Below are 16,985 nucleotides of genomic sequence, written 5' to 3'. Positions count from 1 at the left end.
ACTGACCCTCATTCTCTGCAGGGACTATGCAGATATGCCACAATGACCACCTCTCAGTCACAGTGTGACCTCCTGGAACTCATGCCTGCTTACTTCAAATCCCCCAATTAAAACTCTCCTCAGAGAAACCCAGGGATAATGCCCTGGACCCCATTAAAGACCTTGGCTTATGGGTGCCCCCACTTCATGTGCTCCCTGACCTCCATGGGTGTGGCCTCCAGGCATACCATGTAACTCCCAGGACCTGTAAGTAATAAAACCTTTATTTCCATCTTGTGTCTCTCCTAATCGTTGAAGAGGTGCCCTCCATATTTAAAGGTCCTAAATTAAAACACAGAGCTATAAAAGCAGTCTATAAATAAACAAGAAAAAATAACAGACATTATGGAAGCTGATCCACTATGTCACATATAAGATATATATGTCTTCCTCATGTAGGGGCAAAATCAGTTGGAAAATAGATTGTTACAAGCAAAATGGTATTTCTTACGACAACAATAGCTACCATGCTGTACTACGTGGTGAAGTAAGCTCATCTGCACAGTAATAGGCATATCATCACCCTCATTTGCAGGTGAAGAAACTGAGGCTGGAAGTGGTTGAGCTGCTTGTGGCAAATTTGGAATCATAATACCTATTAGATCAGATATTCCTTTCTGTCTTAAAAATTCAAACATCATTTCTTATGTTTTACTGTGTATCAAAATATGAACTCATAAAGAATGCAAATCCCTGCACTAAATGCAAACCTATAGCCACAAGGCTTTATCTTGATCACCACTTTCCTGGATCCAACCACGAAAGTTTTCTAGGAAGAGGAGACTAGGCTTTAGCTCTGTCTCACAGAGAGCAAGAATATAAATGAAATGCAAAAGGGAAAAGAAAGCTATCCAAGCAATTTTCATTTTATTCTTACAAACTGCTATTTGGGCAGAACAAATCCCTCTATCCTGCCAATAAAAATAACACAGCTAAAAACATACACGCTTGCATATTATTTATCTGGCTAAAAGTTATATTGTTTCTCTACAGCTATCTTAGCAGAGTTAAGCAAGATGGAAACAAATGAATTTCCTTTTATGTGTTTTGAAGAAGTAGCCTGGGAAGATTTATATGACTCTCTGTGTTTCTTCCCCTGTTCAATCAGTGGAATGTTTGAAATAATCAATTGCAAAACCTCAGACTAGAGAAAGATGAATCTTTTCTCCTTATCCCTTTTACTGCTTCTCACAAACTGTAAGTGAAGTTATTTCAGCAACTCATGCAGGAATGTTGGAGGCCAGAAACTAAAGTGCAGTGCCAGTAAAATGAGACAGAAGGCTGATTTAAACCAAAATTAACATAAAAACCTTTTCCAAAGCTCCCAGACAAAGTGAATCTCAAAAGAATGTAACATTTACAACATGTGTATGTCCTGCTGACAGGTGAATTTGCCAAATGTCTTTGTTCAGAAGTTTCAAGAGGTAACTTAACCAAGTTGTGTTTTCTTTTAAATTTTTAAAATATTCACAAAATATTGGGTTGGTGCAAAAGTAATTGCGATTTTTCCAATTTAAAGTAATTGCAAAAACTGCAATTACTTTTGCACCAGCCTATAAGTCTCACAAAATATTACCAACAAGAGGAAGAGAAAAAAGGGAGGGAAGGGGTGTAAAAAATCTAGATAGAACATTGCTGCACAAAAAGTTCCATACCCACCACCTCACAGATTTATGGATTCATCTTATGGTAGGATTTTAAAAGCTATTGTTTAAAATTTAGAAAAAAATCTACTTGAAATGATGTCTGTGATTTCCTCAAAAAATAATAAGGCAAAGGGTTTGAAAGATAGAAGATATAAGACTGGCCCTGAGCAGCTAATTGCTGAAGCCAGATGATGGCTACTTAGGGGTTCATTATACTATTCTGATGATTTTTTATTATGCTTTAAATTGTCCTTAATAATAAATTGGGTTTTTTAAAAGAGTCTGTTTTAGCAATGAAGTAACAGAAAGTTAACTAGGCTAGGTCTCTTCTGTTTGCATTCACAATACAAAATTTTTATCCTTCACATTTGAAACACTGCTTTCAGGAAGAGGATGTTGCTGTAGTCTCTGGTCACTAGACTATAAGATTCATAGGGGCAGGGATTTGTCATGTGCCCAAGTGCCTAGAAAACAGTCTGGCACTTAGTAGGCATGTGGCGTACATTTGTTCAACAGAAAAAAAAAAGAATGAATGAATGTCTCCTGAGAGACAGAAGAATCAGGGCCTGTGTGGATCTTTATTTTTTATTTTATTTTTTGTTTTTCAGATGGAGTTTTGCTCTTGTTGCCCAGGCTGGAGGGCGATGGCGCAATCTCGGCTCACTGCAACCTCCACCTTCTGGGTTCAAGCGATTCTCCTGCCTCAGCCTCCCAAGTAGCTGGGATTACAGGTGTGTGCCACCACGCCCGGCTAATTTTGTATTTTTAGTAGAGACAGGGTTTCTCCATGTTGGTCAGGCTGGTCTCGAACTCCTGACCTCAGGTGATCCGCCCGCCTCGGCCTCCCAAAGTGCTGGGATTACAGGCATGAGTCAACGCACCCAGCCTGTGTGGACCATTTTTAAACTCAATCTAAGGAAATGCTTCCTAAGGAACTGTGTGGACATTGATTGGACCATCGCAGAGCTTTCACTCCCTCTTAGAATGTCCTCTGCACACCCTATCCTTTCTCCAAATGCCCAATTTACTATTTGAGAACTGGCTCAAACATGAAGCTTTCCCATGCCTATCCTCTCCACAGCCCATTACTCGGGCAGAGAGAGTACCTCTCTTCACAGAGTCCTATATGTACTCTCTCCAATACTTATCACATTGTATTTGTTGACAAATCAGCTTATCATGGAGACTGGCATAGAACAGTCCCTGTGTCAACTGATTAACAATTGGAAAGAATTAAATTCCCTGTTGCATAGGCTGTTTTAGTAGAGCCTGGACTGGCGCCTTCTGGGGATCCTACAGAGGAGATGCAGGCATTATCCATTCAGACATTCATATTCATGGAGCGCCCATTATATGCCAGGCCTGTAATATGCAACTGTGATACAATGAGAAATAAAAATCATTGAGTTACAGTCTTTGCAAAACTTGCAGGCTTCTAGGGGTCACAGAGAAGTAAATAAGCAATTACAATATGGTGTTATAGTACCAGAAGGGAAGCTCTAGATGCTAAGAAATCACATAGGAGAGATGTCTGGGTAAGGTTCAGGAGCCAATGTTAAGAAGTTCATTGGAAACTAAAGCATAAAGGATAAGTAAGAATATAGCAAAATGGGGGAAAGGGAAGGGTAGCAAAGTATTAGAGATCAGAGGAATTCGTTGAAGGTAAGACTGAAGGTCTTCTAGGATCTCTATAAATCTGAAAAATCTAGAATTTTAAGTTGTAGAATATATATCACAGACTCAAATCCAAGGCTGGGACAGAGTCCTGCGGAGGTGCTTTGAGAACTGTAAATACGTACTTCTGAATTGGCCTTGAGCTGGCTTGCTTTCTTTATCTTTATTGTATGCAATAATTTGAACTGTGTAATTCTGGTCTGGCATAAGGCCTTGAATAATTGCTTTAGTTGCAGTGTTCTGCAGATTCAGCTGGTTAGTTTTTCCACCTATAATAAAAGAGAAAAATAAATCAGTTCTAAGAAATAAGGTCCACTGTGTACATTAAGAAACTTTATTAGTTAGCAATTATGGTGTTAAACAGTAAAGGCATTTTTTGAAATGTGTTTTATTGTATATATTTTAAAGTGTATATATTTAGAGTGTACATCATGATTTTTTTACATACATCAAGAGGTGAAGACATTTAAAAATACATACAATGGTATATATGTGTATTGCACCTAATTATAAAATAGTTTCCATCTTCCTTTTTAGCTGTACCCTTTTTACATTAGATAACTAACAATTGTCGAAATTAGAGAAAACCAAATTCACAAAAATATTTCATCATAACACACTACTGCTTTTATATAGCAGGAAAAGCCATAGTACAAGATTACAGGACAGCAAGCCCTCAACATCAGATATACTCTTCAAGGAAAGAATTCCACTTAAAAGTGAAGGGGGAGGCCAGGTGAGGAGGCTCACGCCTGTAATCCTTGCACTTTAGGAGGCCGAGGCAGGCAGATCACCTCAGGTCAGGGGTTTGAAACCAGCCTGGCCAATGTGGTGAAACCCCGTCTCTACTAAAAACACACAAAATTAACCAGCCGTGGTGGTGTTTGTCTGTAGTCCCAGCTACTCAGGAGGCTGCGGCAGGACAATCGTTTGAACCCAGGAGGCAGAGGTTGCAGTTGAGCCGATATTGCGCCACTGCACTCCAGCCTGGGTGACAGACCGAGACTCCGCCTCAAAAAAAAAATGTGAAGGGGAGATATGGGCAGGCCGAAGGTAATTATTTACACTGGAATTTTTTTCTACAGCCTCTCTAAAGTGAGTCAAAGCATCCTTGAAACATGAGCAATTTAATTATCTTAAATCTGACCACAAATGGCTGAGGATGCTGAAGGAATCACTCATTGACTGGCTACTTAAAAGTTGGCTTGGTTCATGAAAAGATTTCAAAATCCCATTACCTCTCCATCAGGTTACACTGACATCTAAGGCTTTCTTGAAAGTGCTGATGATAAATACTCAACTTTTATGCAGAATTCCAAATTTTACTTTTCTTCTCTAATTTTTGCCTGCAATTATGTGTCTGAGAAAAGGAAAATTAATTTAAAACTTCTGTCTCTCTAGCAGTACCAGCAAGAGAAGACTGAAATTTGCTGAATTAATCAAACATAATACAGATTATAATTTAATCATATGCCAATAAAATTAATATTTTTAAATCTGAAATTTGATGCTGCTATTATCTGGGCTGCCTGCTACTGGAGGGCAAAATGGAGTCTTTCTCTTGCCAAAACCCATTTCCTTATGTGCGTTTATGTTCAAGATGTTAAATCTGGTTTTAGGAACTTCTGTCATTTAAAACTCATCTACTACAAAGTGCACCTAATATATCTTTCACAATGTGTGTTTCACTAAAAAAAAGTTTCTCAAAAAACAAACCCTGTATATTAGAGTCCCTCTTTGAGAGTTATGGAGTGTATTATTTTATTAAAGGCTTTGAGATTCCTGAAACAAACAAACAAACAAAAAAAGCTTTAAACTCTGTTTAAACCAGCATTTCCCAAATTTATTTGACCATTAAACTATTTAGCTATATAATAGCTATTAGCATCCTACAGAATACCATGGAACATGCTTTCAGAAAGGCTGGCAGAAACAATAGTTGGACCATATCTCATAGTGTTGAAACAGCTATAAACATTTTGCAGCTAAATGTATTTATTACTCTTTATTTACTATGTTTAATCAAATAGATACCAGATTGTCAAGACTGATTGTCTTGGGTTGCTGCGGTAAGAACACTGTGGAAAATAAACCTAGCATTTATGAAGAAATAATTTGCTTTCATTCCCAATTTTTATTTTATCATGGGAGATGTCTAAGCAAGAACTAGACATCTACTTCTTGGGTGCACTCTTCAAGAGAGGATTGAAGCATTCAGATGAAGGTTTGTTTCAGAGGCTACCCAAGTCACTTCTACAATTCTGTGATTCCTCAGTAACACTTGCTTGGGGGTACTTAATAGTTTGGTATTATCAGCAATTAATCAAAAAAAGTTAAGCTACCAATCACTTGAAGGAAAAAAAATTACCTTTCCAGATCAGACATGAGGGATTCTCAGAGGTAACAAAAAATAGTAACTTGTATTTTGACCTTTAGAATCATAAATCTTCAAGAATCTTTTAAATTTAAATTTCCCATGATAGCTTATTTTTAAAAAAATAAGCTATATTTTTAAAAATCAAAGAAATTTCATAACTGAGTCATACTCCAAAATGAAAACTCTGAACAAGGTTTGCAAATATTGTTTTCCATAAGCAAGTCACTTCTGTACGCCACCATGGGAAAAGTGGACATCTGGTATTGCTCAACCAGAAGTCATTCTAATGAGTCTACGGATAATATTTCTTAATGAAAGATATATCAGGCTGGGCGTGATAGCTCACACCTGTAATCCCAGCACTTTGGGAGGCTGAGGCAGGTGGATCACCTGAGGTCAGGAGTTCAAGACTAGTCTGGCCAACATGGTGAAATCCCATCTCTACTAAACATATAAAAATTAGCCAGGCATGGTGGCGGGCACCTGTAATCCCAGCTACTCAGGGGGCTGAGAGCGGAAAACCACTTGAACCTAGAAGGCAGAGGTTGCAGTGAGCCGAGATTGCACCTCTGCACTCCAGCCTGGGCAACAAAGAGCGAAACTCAGTCTCAAAAAATTTAAAAAATTAAAAAATAAATAAAAGATTTGGCCTTTTGGTGACCAAGCAAGAAACCAGGTGTTTCATCTGCTTGTCTTGTTTGAATGTTTACGTCAACTGTTGAGTAAGACGTCCACATTAATGAACAATACAGCATCTGTCTCCTTCACTGTATCTTTTGGAAAAAGGTCTACCACTGAAAGGCTTGTAGCTCCATATAACCCTCTTTATCACCAATAAAAAGAAAAAATAATTATGTTTACATAAATATATATTATACAAATATGTATTATTAAGTACTTATTATGTACTGTGTGAAAATGGATCCTTGGAGAACTAATGGGACCTGAGAGCATCTTTATGACAATCATAGGTAACATTTACTGAGCACTTACTATATGGCACCACTGTTCTAAGGGCTTTATATTTATTTTAGTCTTCACAACCAGTACTTCCCAAATTTAATGTGCATAGGAATCACCTGGGGATCTTTTTAAAATTCAGACGCTGGTTGAAGAGGTCAAGGGTAGAGCCCAGTATTCTGCATTTCTAACAAGCTCTCAGGTAATGCCAATGCTGCTGATCCCAGATCAACCTTGAGTTGCAAATTCATAGAAAACTCCATGGGGTGGGTACAAATATTGTTTGCTCATTGTATAGAAGAAACTTGAGGCACTGAGTCATTAACTTGCCTGAATCACACTACTTATAAGTGACAGAATCGAGTTTTGAATTCAAGCAATCCAGTTGTTGATCCCATCTTCATCTTCATAACAACCATGTAGCAGAGGCAATTTCCCTATATGGTCTGTATTATTTTAGCTTATTATATTCATATAATAAAAACATAAAATATGAGAAAGAAAAATTCAACCAAATGATGTTGAAAGATACTTCATTATTTAAAGACACTTAATTTAAAGCTTCTTTAAATAATAAAGTATCTTTAAGCATCATTTAAGTATCATCTTTAAAATAAAGATGCTTAATTTAAAGCATCCTTAAATAACTATTCATGATCAAAAAATGTGTTCAACTTATGTTTTTCCTGCCTTATCACTTATTTTCACAATGTCCACTTAGCCTTTCTAATTTCAATGTATAATGCTGAATATTATTCTATTGAGTTAATTAATAATAGTTTATTCAACTAGTCAAAACTATTGGACATTCAGGTGCATTGTATATTTAAGTTCCAATGAATTCAAAGTATTCATTTTATGACTAAACAGAGAAAATAAAACTTGTTGATTGTCTGATTATTTGGTCTAAAAAGAACTGGAGCCAAGAGTCATTCTTTACTCTTTGGGGAACATTATTACCTTGATTAGAGGGTAAGATTTTAAACACTGAAGATTAAACAAACCAAAAGCTTCCAAAAAATCCTAACACAATGCTTGGCACTACATGTTTTTAGTTGCCTATGCATGAAAAGTTGCTAATGCTCTACAAAACAAAGTCAATTGTTTTTACCTGAAGTTGGAGTCACAAGAAGTTTGTAACCACCAAATTTCCCTCTTGGAGCCTTCCATGAAATCTGTATACTGTCATGAGATATTACATTATATCTTAACCTTGTGGGTGGAGCCACTGAAAAGGAAGAACAAAAATGATGTAAACATTGTAACATTTAAGCTTCTATTTGTTAAATCAGAAAGTCAAAGTAGTATAATAAAAATACACACAAAAGACTTCATCAGCCTCAAAATATATAATATATATACATATGCTTTTTGAGAGGGAGTCTCGCTCTGTTGCCCAGGCTGGAGTGCAGTGGCACGATCTCAGCTCACTACAACCTCTGCCTCTTGGGTTCAAACAATTCTCTGCCTCAGCCTCCTGAGTAGCTGGGATTACAGGCACGTGCCACCACGCCCGGCTAATTTTCTTGAATTTTTAGTAGAGACGGGGTTTCACCATCTTGGCCAGGCTGGTCTTGAACTCCTGACCTCAGGATCCACCCGCCTCGGCCTCCCAAAGTGCTGGGATTACAGGCATAAGCCACCACGCCTGGCCATAATATATATTATTTTTTACAACCTCACTAATGAACTGATCAGTTTGCAAGATAACACAAAACTAAAGGCATTTGTTTCTTACCCAAGGGATATCCATTTGTCAAACAGTAGTGACCTTATGACAAAGAACTAAGACCAAGTGTTAGAATGTAATACTCTAGCCTAGTTTAATAATTGAAGCTAATTTTGTAAAATGCTTTCATTATGTTACAAGGATAAATTTTTCTCCTTGAAACATGTGAGCTTCTATAATCTACTCTACTGAGACCTGTTGTTTGTCCTTAGGTTTTTCACTTTGGTAATTCAATATTTTTGATTATATGATAATTTGAGAGGGCTATTACGGATATATTATGGTAATAAGATATTCATTTAAAAACATTTGAGAAAATGATTGTAAAGGCATTCAAGACCAAGTAAAATAATTATGTTTTATAAACTTGGATCCAGTTTTCAAGGATAGCTGATTTATACCTGTCAGAAAGATACAAAGCACATGGTCATGAATCAGCCCAGAATGTTTTATCTTTTCTGACAGTTTACAAAAATGTACTCATTTTTGTGTTACTTTTTGTGTAGGTCATTCAAACTTCAAAACACATTTCTGGAACACTACACAAATGTTCCAGTATTTCAAAAAAGCTAAGAACGTTTTTATTACATACTCTCTAAATTAGTTTGTTAGAAAAGAAAAGTTAATACTTCATGGAAAAGTTAGCCTTTTTTATCCACTTTTAAGCCCAGTCTCTCTTTCTCATTTTAAAAAACAGAGTGTACAGAAAAGAAACAAACATTCTCCTACATAGGCATGGGGTATAACATGGGGTTTGGCTGTTAGTTTCATTCTTGGTTCTACCACTTAGCTAATAACCTTGAGCAGGTTATTGTTTCTTCCAAAACCTGAGTTTCTTTATTTTTAGAAAAGGTGATGGCAATACTTTTTGCAAAGGAGAGATGACAACTTTAAATAGGATAATGGATATCATGAATATAATGCATTATAATAGGGAGTCAATAAATATTTGTTCCCTTTCCCCTACTTCATGTAATGATTCAGCTTAAAAGCTCACTTAATCTTCGAAACATACATTGCTATTCCAATTTTATAGATAAAGGAACCAAGGTGCAACTAAAGCACTTGCCCAAGTTCACATACTGATGAAGGACAATCTCTGACCCCAGATGAAATGCACTGTTTCTTTGAAAGATGATTCATATTAAGAAGTCACCCTCGGCCAGGCAGGGTGGCTCATGCCTGTAATCCCAGCACTTTGGGAGGCCAAGACGGGTGGATCACCTGAGGTCAGGAGTTTGAGACCAGCCTGACCAACACGGTGAAACCCCATCTCTACTAAAAATACAGAATTAGCCAGGTGTGGTGGCACACGCCTGTAGTCCCAGCTACTCAGGAGGCTGAGACAGGAGAATTAATTGAATCCAGGAGGCGGAGACTGCAGGGAGCTGAGATCAGGCTACTGCACTCCAGCCTGGACGAGACAGAGAGAGACTCCATCTCAAAAAAAAAAAGAAGTCACCCTTCATTGAGCTAGATGAATGAAGAATTTACTGCTCCACAAACTGAAATCAGTATGAAATCAGATGAAAGCATCTGAAATCAGTAAGCACTGAAAGACACAATCTTAAGAATAGATTTTCTTTCTATTTGTCCTTTACTATCTCTAAGTAGAGAATGCTAGCCATGCTGAATAAAAACATTAGCTTCCTGTTCTCAATGTGACATGAATGGAAGAAAGAGTTTACATTTCTCTGGCTAATGAGAAAGCATAAATTTATCATAAGAATAACTTTTTTCAAATGGAAGAGGAAGGTGCTGAACCTAACATTTGGATGAACAGAAAACTGTTACTATTTTGCTTAGTCATCAACTTGAGAAGAAAATTTATTAATAGATAGGTTCTTATTACTTATGGAAGAAAATTAAAAGTAAGAATTTTTAAATATTAAAAATATATGCAAGTTTCTGAGTAAAATCAAGTCAGTGGACTAGTAAATGTCATCGCCCAAGTTTTTGCATGAATGAGCTGCTGAAAGAAAGCTGTCTGGGGAACCATCAAGTGGAAAAGTACAAATAGGATGGAGGCTTCAATCTAGGAAATTCCAAGAGAATCATTGATTCCATTAGCACTCCAGGTGTGTTGACATCTCAAAACAGCAAACAACATTCAGGATTCCTAGGTTAAAAATTACTAAATTTTCTATCCATGCTACTATTCTTTAAATGTCATCTGAGTTTATAGCCCTCAACATCTCTTAGTCAATAGACTAAGATTTGGCTTCCAAATCTCCAGTAGAAAATGAGGGCAACGTGGAGCATGTTCAGGTAATCTGGATGGTGTTCTAGAACCAAGAGTGGCATCGGCTTCCATTCAATTGCTCAAGAAAACAAAGTGTAAAACTGTTGAAGCAAATGCAACGACCAAATCCATCAATACTCTACTCTTTCATTAATTTACAAATGATTCAACTGTCTACATTCCCATTATAACTGCTAGCCAAAAACAATATCATTATTACCTTTTAGCAACAGACCACATCTATTGCCTATAGAAGCATAAATACCCTCACAGTCATCAAAAGGAGATCTTGGTTAAACATAACATACACATTTTCTTTAGGTTTTTGCCTTTAGGGTAAAAAATATTGAAAAGAAGAAATGCTAGTTAAAAAAGAAAGAGGCCTGAGGTCACAGCTGTGGATTTCAAAGTTAGGTTTTTTCCCCCTTTCAGAAGGCACTGGGACTGGAGCCAAAGCAAGGGCGGCAGGATTGACAGAAATGCTTTAAGTGCCATGGAGAAATAATTGCTCTTATCTCATGGAACAAAACTTTGTGTACATTTTATACCAGACCCATGATTTTTCTGTTTGCAAGCACAAAGGAAGTACTTTTTTTTAACATATACTTAACTTCCATTAATAATTATAAACGTTTGCATGAACTTGACTGAAAAATTAATTTATGTCAGTTCAAATCCTAATCTTTTAAAAAAGACGAACATCAAGTGTAAAGTTTGATTTCCAGCACACACCAAGAGCCCAGAGGAAACCAACAGACTCATCCTTTGCATGGTGAAGTGTAAAAGATGAGATTGCACATGAGATTAGGCCTGATATAAGATCTGTGAATATATAAACATCATCCCAAAGGGAGACTGAGGGGGAAGACTGAGGAGCGGCTACCCATTATCTTCCACTCCACTGCAGAGTTAGGCTTGTTACTGAAAGTGTAGGGGCATTTTTATTCTGCTGTGCTGTGTTGTGCTTTGTTTGTGAAGGAAGATTTTCTTTAAGCTCAAAGAATACCACTGCAATCATTCCCATAGAGGCTCATAGGCAGGAGAGAAATGTTTATGTCATGTCATTGAAGCCTCACTATTATCAAGCATTTACGAAATTCTGTTTCATAATCTACTCATTAAAGAGTTGACTTTTGGCTGTCCCTTTCTTCCCTCCTTCTTTCCTTCCTTTCTTCTCATCTGAATTTGAACGCTTACGGTTTTGTCAAGTGACAATCTACGTAAAGATACTTATTTTAATAAAATATTCACATTTGTTTATTAAAACGCTAGTTTTTACATAGGGACACTGAAATGGACATCTTGTGTTCTTCCCTACCCATAATCGCATCTCCTCTTCCTTATATGACAGCATCCTGGTTTTCTTCCAACGAACAACACTACCTCCCCCACTGCATAGGGCCAACCATCCTCCCCCGGCTAAAGTCTGGGAAAATCACTTAAACCCGGTCAAGCAGACTCTCCCAAGAATCTGAAACTTGACTCCAGTGATGCAAGGATGGAAAATAACTCCAGTCATTCCAATGACATGCCCTAAGGAAAATGGTCACTAGTTTCTACAGACTGTATCCCAGAGGATTTCCCAGATTCCTATCCTTTTCAAAGCTTGATTATTTACTTTTACTTTGATTATATGAGCTACTGCATTACCTACTGGTGAATACATTTTTGCTTAGTTGACCAGAGAAAATTTATTTTATTCACAACCAAAAATTTCTGGCTGATAAAGATAATGCAGCATGAATCACATTGAGAGTTTTTACCTCTTTAAAACATATTTTAGGATGCTAAGTTGATAGGGCAACCAATTATATTTATTTTTAAAAGACTTTTAAACAGCAGAAAAGTATTTGGCTATTTTTCCAAGTAATCTAAAAACAAAAAAATTCTTTTTTGATTATTGGCGGGGTACAGTGGCTCATGTCTGTAATCCCAGCACTTTGGGAGGCCAAGGCAGGCAGATTCGTTGAGCCCAGGAGTTTGAGACCAGCCTGGGCAACATGGCAAAACACCATCTCTAAAAAGTATATACAAAAATCAGTTGAGTGTGGTTGCATGGGCCTGTGGTCCCAGCTACTCAGGAGGCTGAGATAGGAGGATCACTTGAGCCCAGGACGTGGAGGCCATGATCGCACCACTGCACTCCAGCCTGGGCGACATAGCAAGACTCTGGCTCAACAAATAAAATAAAATACAAAAACTTTAGCTTTTTATGTTAGTCATTTTTTTCAGTTAAATGTACTGCCTAAATGTTTTATAAATCGGAGCAATTAAATTTTGAGAGACTTTTACTGTAGGATATGCTACAGGGATTTTTTTTTAATGTGGTTTAGAACCTCATATGTTGTAATTTCATGATCCATTATAAAGATGCTGAAAACAGCTGTAAGGAAAATATTCTCAACTTTTCAAATGTGTTTGGCTACTAACAGCAAGAAATATGTGTCAACGTGTGAACACAGAGGTCTTTATAAAGTTAAAGCTAGCCCCTATGCGAAGTCTCCAATTTTCTATGCGTCGAGGTTTTTAAATGAGTTATTTTACCTTCAGTGGCTCCCTCCTGTAACCATCCAAAACAAACATCGCTAGAACCAGGTACATATTTACTGTGAAATTTCCAAGAAAGTGTGGATCCCATCACTCTGTTATTGCTGTACGCATTTTTCTCCTACAGCCATCACACTACTTTTTCTGTATTCTAGTTCATTTAACAAGTTGTCTTGAAAAGAAGATGCTGGAATAATCCAGGTTTAAACAGTTATTTGAGCCAATGTAGGTTCACAGGTCCTGGAGAGGGAACATTTTTCATAAAATATTCCATGGAGAGACTAAATGGTAAAGCACATTCTGTGGATTAGCAATTAAGGAGCAAGAATTAATTTCCTGTATGTCTTTTTTTTTTTTTTTTTTTTTTTTTGAGATGGAATCTCGCTGTGTCGCCCAAGCTGGAGTGCAGTGGTGCGATCTCGGCTCACTGCAAGCTCCGCCTCCCAGGTTCACGCCATTCTCCTGCCTCAGCCTCCCTAGTAGCTAGGACTACAGACTACAGGCGCCCGCCACCACGCCCGGCTAATTTTTTTTGTATTTTTAGTAGAGACGCGGTTTCACCGTGTTAGCCAGGATGGTCTCGATTTCCTGACCTCGTGATCCGCCCGCCTCTGCCTCCCAAAGTGCTGGGATTACAGACGTGAGCCATACTGAATGTCTTTTAATACTAGCTATATTCGTTGATTATCGTTACTATAATAAATTTCAAAATCTTAGTGGCTTAAAACAACAGACATGTACTATCTTACAGTTCTAGGGGTCAGAAGTTTGAAATCAATCTCACCGGGCTAAAAGGATGGTGTCGGAAGGGCTGAATTTCTTTCTGTAGGGGAGAATCAATCATTGTCTTGCCTTTTCTAACTTCTAGAGGCTTCTCACATTCCTTGACTTGTGGTCTCTTTCCATCTTCAAAGCCAGCAGTACCCAGCCAAGTTTTTCTCACCTGGCCGCTGACACTGGCTGCCCTATCTCCCTCTTCCATATTTAAAACTTTTTGCAGTTACATTGGGCCCACCCAGAAAATCCAGGCTAACCTCCCTATTTTAAGGTCAACTGATTAACAAACAATTCAATCTGACATCTTAATTCCCCCTTGCCATATAACATATTCACTAGTTCTGAAGATTATATGTGAATATCTTTGCAGGTACATTATTCTGCCTACCACACTGACTTTGCTTTTTTTTTTTTTTTTTTTTTGAGACGGAGTCTTGCTCTGTTGTGCAGGCTGGAGTGCAGTGGCACCATCTCAGCTCACTGCAACCTCCACCTCCCAGGTTCAGGCAATTCTCGTGCCTCAGCCTCCTGAGCAGCTGGGACTACAGGCGCGCACCATCATGCCCAGCTAATTTTTTGTATTTTTAGTAGAGACGGGGTTTCACCATATTGGCCAGACTGGTCTCAAACTCCTGACCTCATGATCCGCCTGCCTTAGCCTCCCAAAGTGCTGGGATTATAGACGTGAGCCACCAGACTATTTTTTTTTCTCTGAAAATGTCTATTTGGCTTTGCAAATTAATGTCAAATTTGGCCAACCCACAGGAACTCACTACTAAATTTGCTTTAAAAGCAGAAAATCAATCCAATAAAGCAATTCATATTTTTTATTCCTTGCTCAAAATCAGTCACGTAAATAAGAGGCGTAATGGTAGAAATAAGATGAGGTTTCTCAAAGGTCTCATATTTTCCTAATCAGCAAAACCAAAGGCCTCTAAAGCGTTTCTTATTGAGGTTTCCCCCAGCGTGCAGCCACCATCTTCCTTCTTGAAAATTTCTCCAGCCTTCACTTATCATCCACTACATTCCCCTGACTCTCCTTATAATTGATGTTGGATTTTTTTTTTTTACTCTTTCAATCAGTCATTTTTCTTCTATTAAACTCTTATTGAACTCTATTGATGTTTGGCAGACTTCATCCTCACCTCTTTCCACTTTGATATCCCTTCCTAATTCTAGTTCTAAGGCTTCAAAAATCCTTATAAGTGAATTCCTAAATAAAATACAATTCGAATATAATCTCCTGCGCTGATCTTTTTTCCCTAAACTCCAGACCACCAACTGCCTACCAGCCATCTCCACCTGAATGTCCCACAGACACCTTAAGCTCCATATATTTGTCTAAAACTGAACTCATTGTCTTCTACTTGTTTAAACTCTTCAACAAATGTCTACTATGACTGAAACATTGCTCTGTACTGGAGATACAGACACTAAAGAGAGAACTATTGGCTTTTATGAGCTGAGGTAAATAAACAATTACAATGCAAAGATATAGAAGCAGTAATGACACAGGGGTCAAGATGAAAGACCCTATCTGCTCAGGTCTCCATCAAGAAACTTGATTTATCTTCAATATTTCCCTATCTTTTGTCTGTCTCCACTTATAATCAGCAGACAACTTTTCTCTCTTATACCCCTTAAATGATTCTTAGATGCATTCTCTCTAATCACATTGCCTACTTCCAGCCTTCAACACCTATTTCATGGACAATTTAGTATATTTTAATGATCTCTCATGACTTGTTTGTTCCTATCCCTCAAACCCCCATGAGTTGCAAATATGAGAATCATCGATATTGCTATTAGAGTGTTTTTCTCAAAAACAGAGTTGTTTAAAATCTTCCATAATCTGGCTGCAATCTATCTTTCCATCTTTGTCTCTGCCACACTTCACCCCCAACATAACTTATATTGCAATTTATTTGCTTACAGCCCTGTCTCCCTAGTACACAGTAACCTGGTTGAAGGCAAAAAATAAATAAATAAATAGGTCTTATTTAGCTTTGTATCTTGAACTTGACACATAGAATATGCCCCATAAGTGTTCACTTAAAACAGAATTTGGTGGCTGGGCACGATGGTTCACACCTGTAATCCCAGCACTTTGGGAGGCCAAGGAGGGTGGATCACTTGAGGTCAGGAGTTCGAGACCAGCCTGACCAACATGGTGAAACCCCCTCTCTACTAAAAACACAAAATTAGCTGGGCTTGGTGGCGCATGCCTGTAATCCCAGCAACTTGGGAGGCTAGGGCAGGAGAATTGCTTGAACGCAGGAGGCAGAGGTTGCAGTTAGCCGAGACTGCGCCATTTGCCATTGCACTCCAGCCTGGGAAACAAGAGCAAAACTCCGTCTCAAAAAAAAAAAAAAAAATGAAAAAACAGAATTTGGCTAACAATATTCATCTGGTAGACAGCATCCTTGAAAGTATCCCGTAAGAGCTATATATGATCAGTTATTCCACAAATTACCACTTCTGAATTATGCTAGACTGAGATAGCAACTCTGGAGGGCTTAGCAACTTGCCCGCCCTTTGTTTCTAAGAATCTGTGTCTTGTATCCTGGAGTTTAGAAGATAAGTGATCTAGAATTTCCTAATTGCCACAGCTAAAAGCATTCTTTCATCAACATAAATAACATAAGCAGAATGTGTCTACCAAACTGCCTGCTGTGTGTTCAATGAAGTAGTTGGAAATACAGTTCCTTAACCCCAGGTGTATAATAGCAATTTGTGGATGCAAAAAGTCAAGTTCCATTCCTTTCCAAACAGGTACGCCTCCCTTAAAGGAAACAGTGTGTGGTGGTTCATGCATTGATCTTTTCTACAACCCTCAATGCCAAACATTAGACATTAGCATTCCTAAAATCACTTTATCACATTTACAATTCCTTGCTCAGCTGATAAATAACATTTCATCACCAACACTTCAGTCTCTGTAGATTCCCATGTTTGTCTAATAATATCACTTTGCACAGTTGTGCATATTCAGAA

At 37.8% G+C, this 16,985-nt stretch overlaps 1 protein-coding gene across 11 annotated transcripts in view; it reads right to left on the bottom strand.

Annotated features, from left to right (window-relative positions):
* The window catches only part of COL14A1 (collagen type XIV alpha 1 chain), a 249,120-nt gene that overhangs the window by 207,520 nt on the left and 24,615 nt on the right, over positions 1-16,985 (bottom strand). For all 11 annotated transcript variants that reach the window (NM_001413490.1, NM_001413491.1, NM_001413493.1 and 8 more), the window contains 2 exons: positions 7,808-7,924; positions 3,485-3,628 (listed from right to left, as the gene is read on the bottom strand). In NM_001413490.1, the coding sequence (NP_001400419.1) occupies positions 3,485-3,628; positions 7,808-7,924 (261 nt within the window). The remainder of the gene's footprint in view (positions 1-3,484; positions 3,629-7,807; positions 7,925-16,985) is intronic.

This window comes from Homo sapiens, chromosome 8, assembly GCF_000001405.40.
Source record: "Homo sapiens chromosome 8, GRCh38.p14 Primary Assembly".
Lineage (NCBI taxonomy): Eukaryota > Metazoa > Chordata > Mammalia > Primates > Hominidae > Homo > Homo sapiens.
The sequence above is the reverse complement of the archived record's forward strand: the minus strand, read 5'-3'. Positions and strand labels throughout refer to the sequence as shown.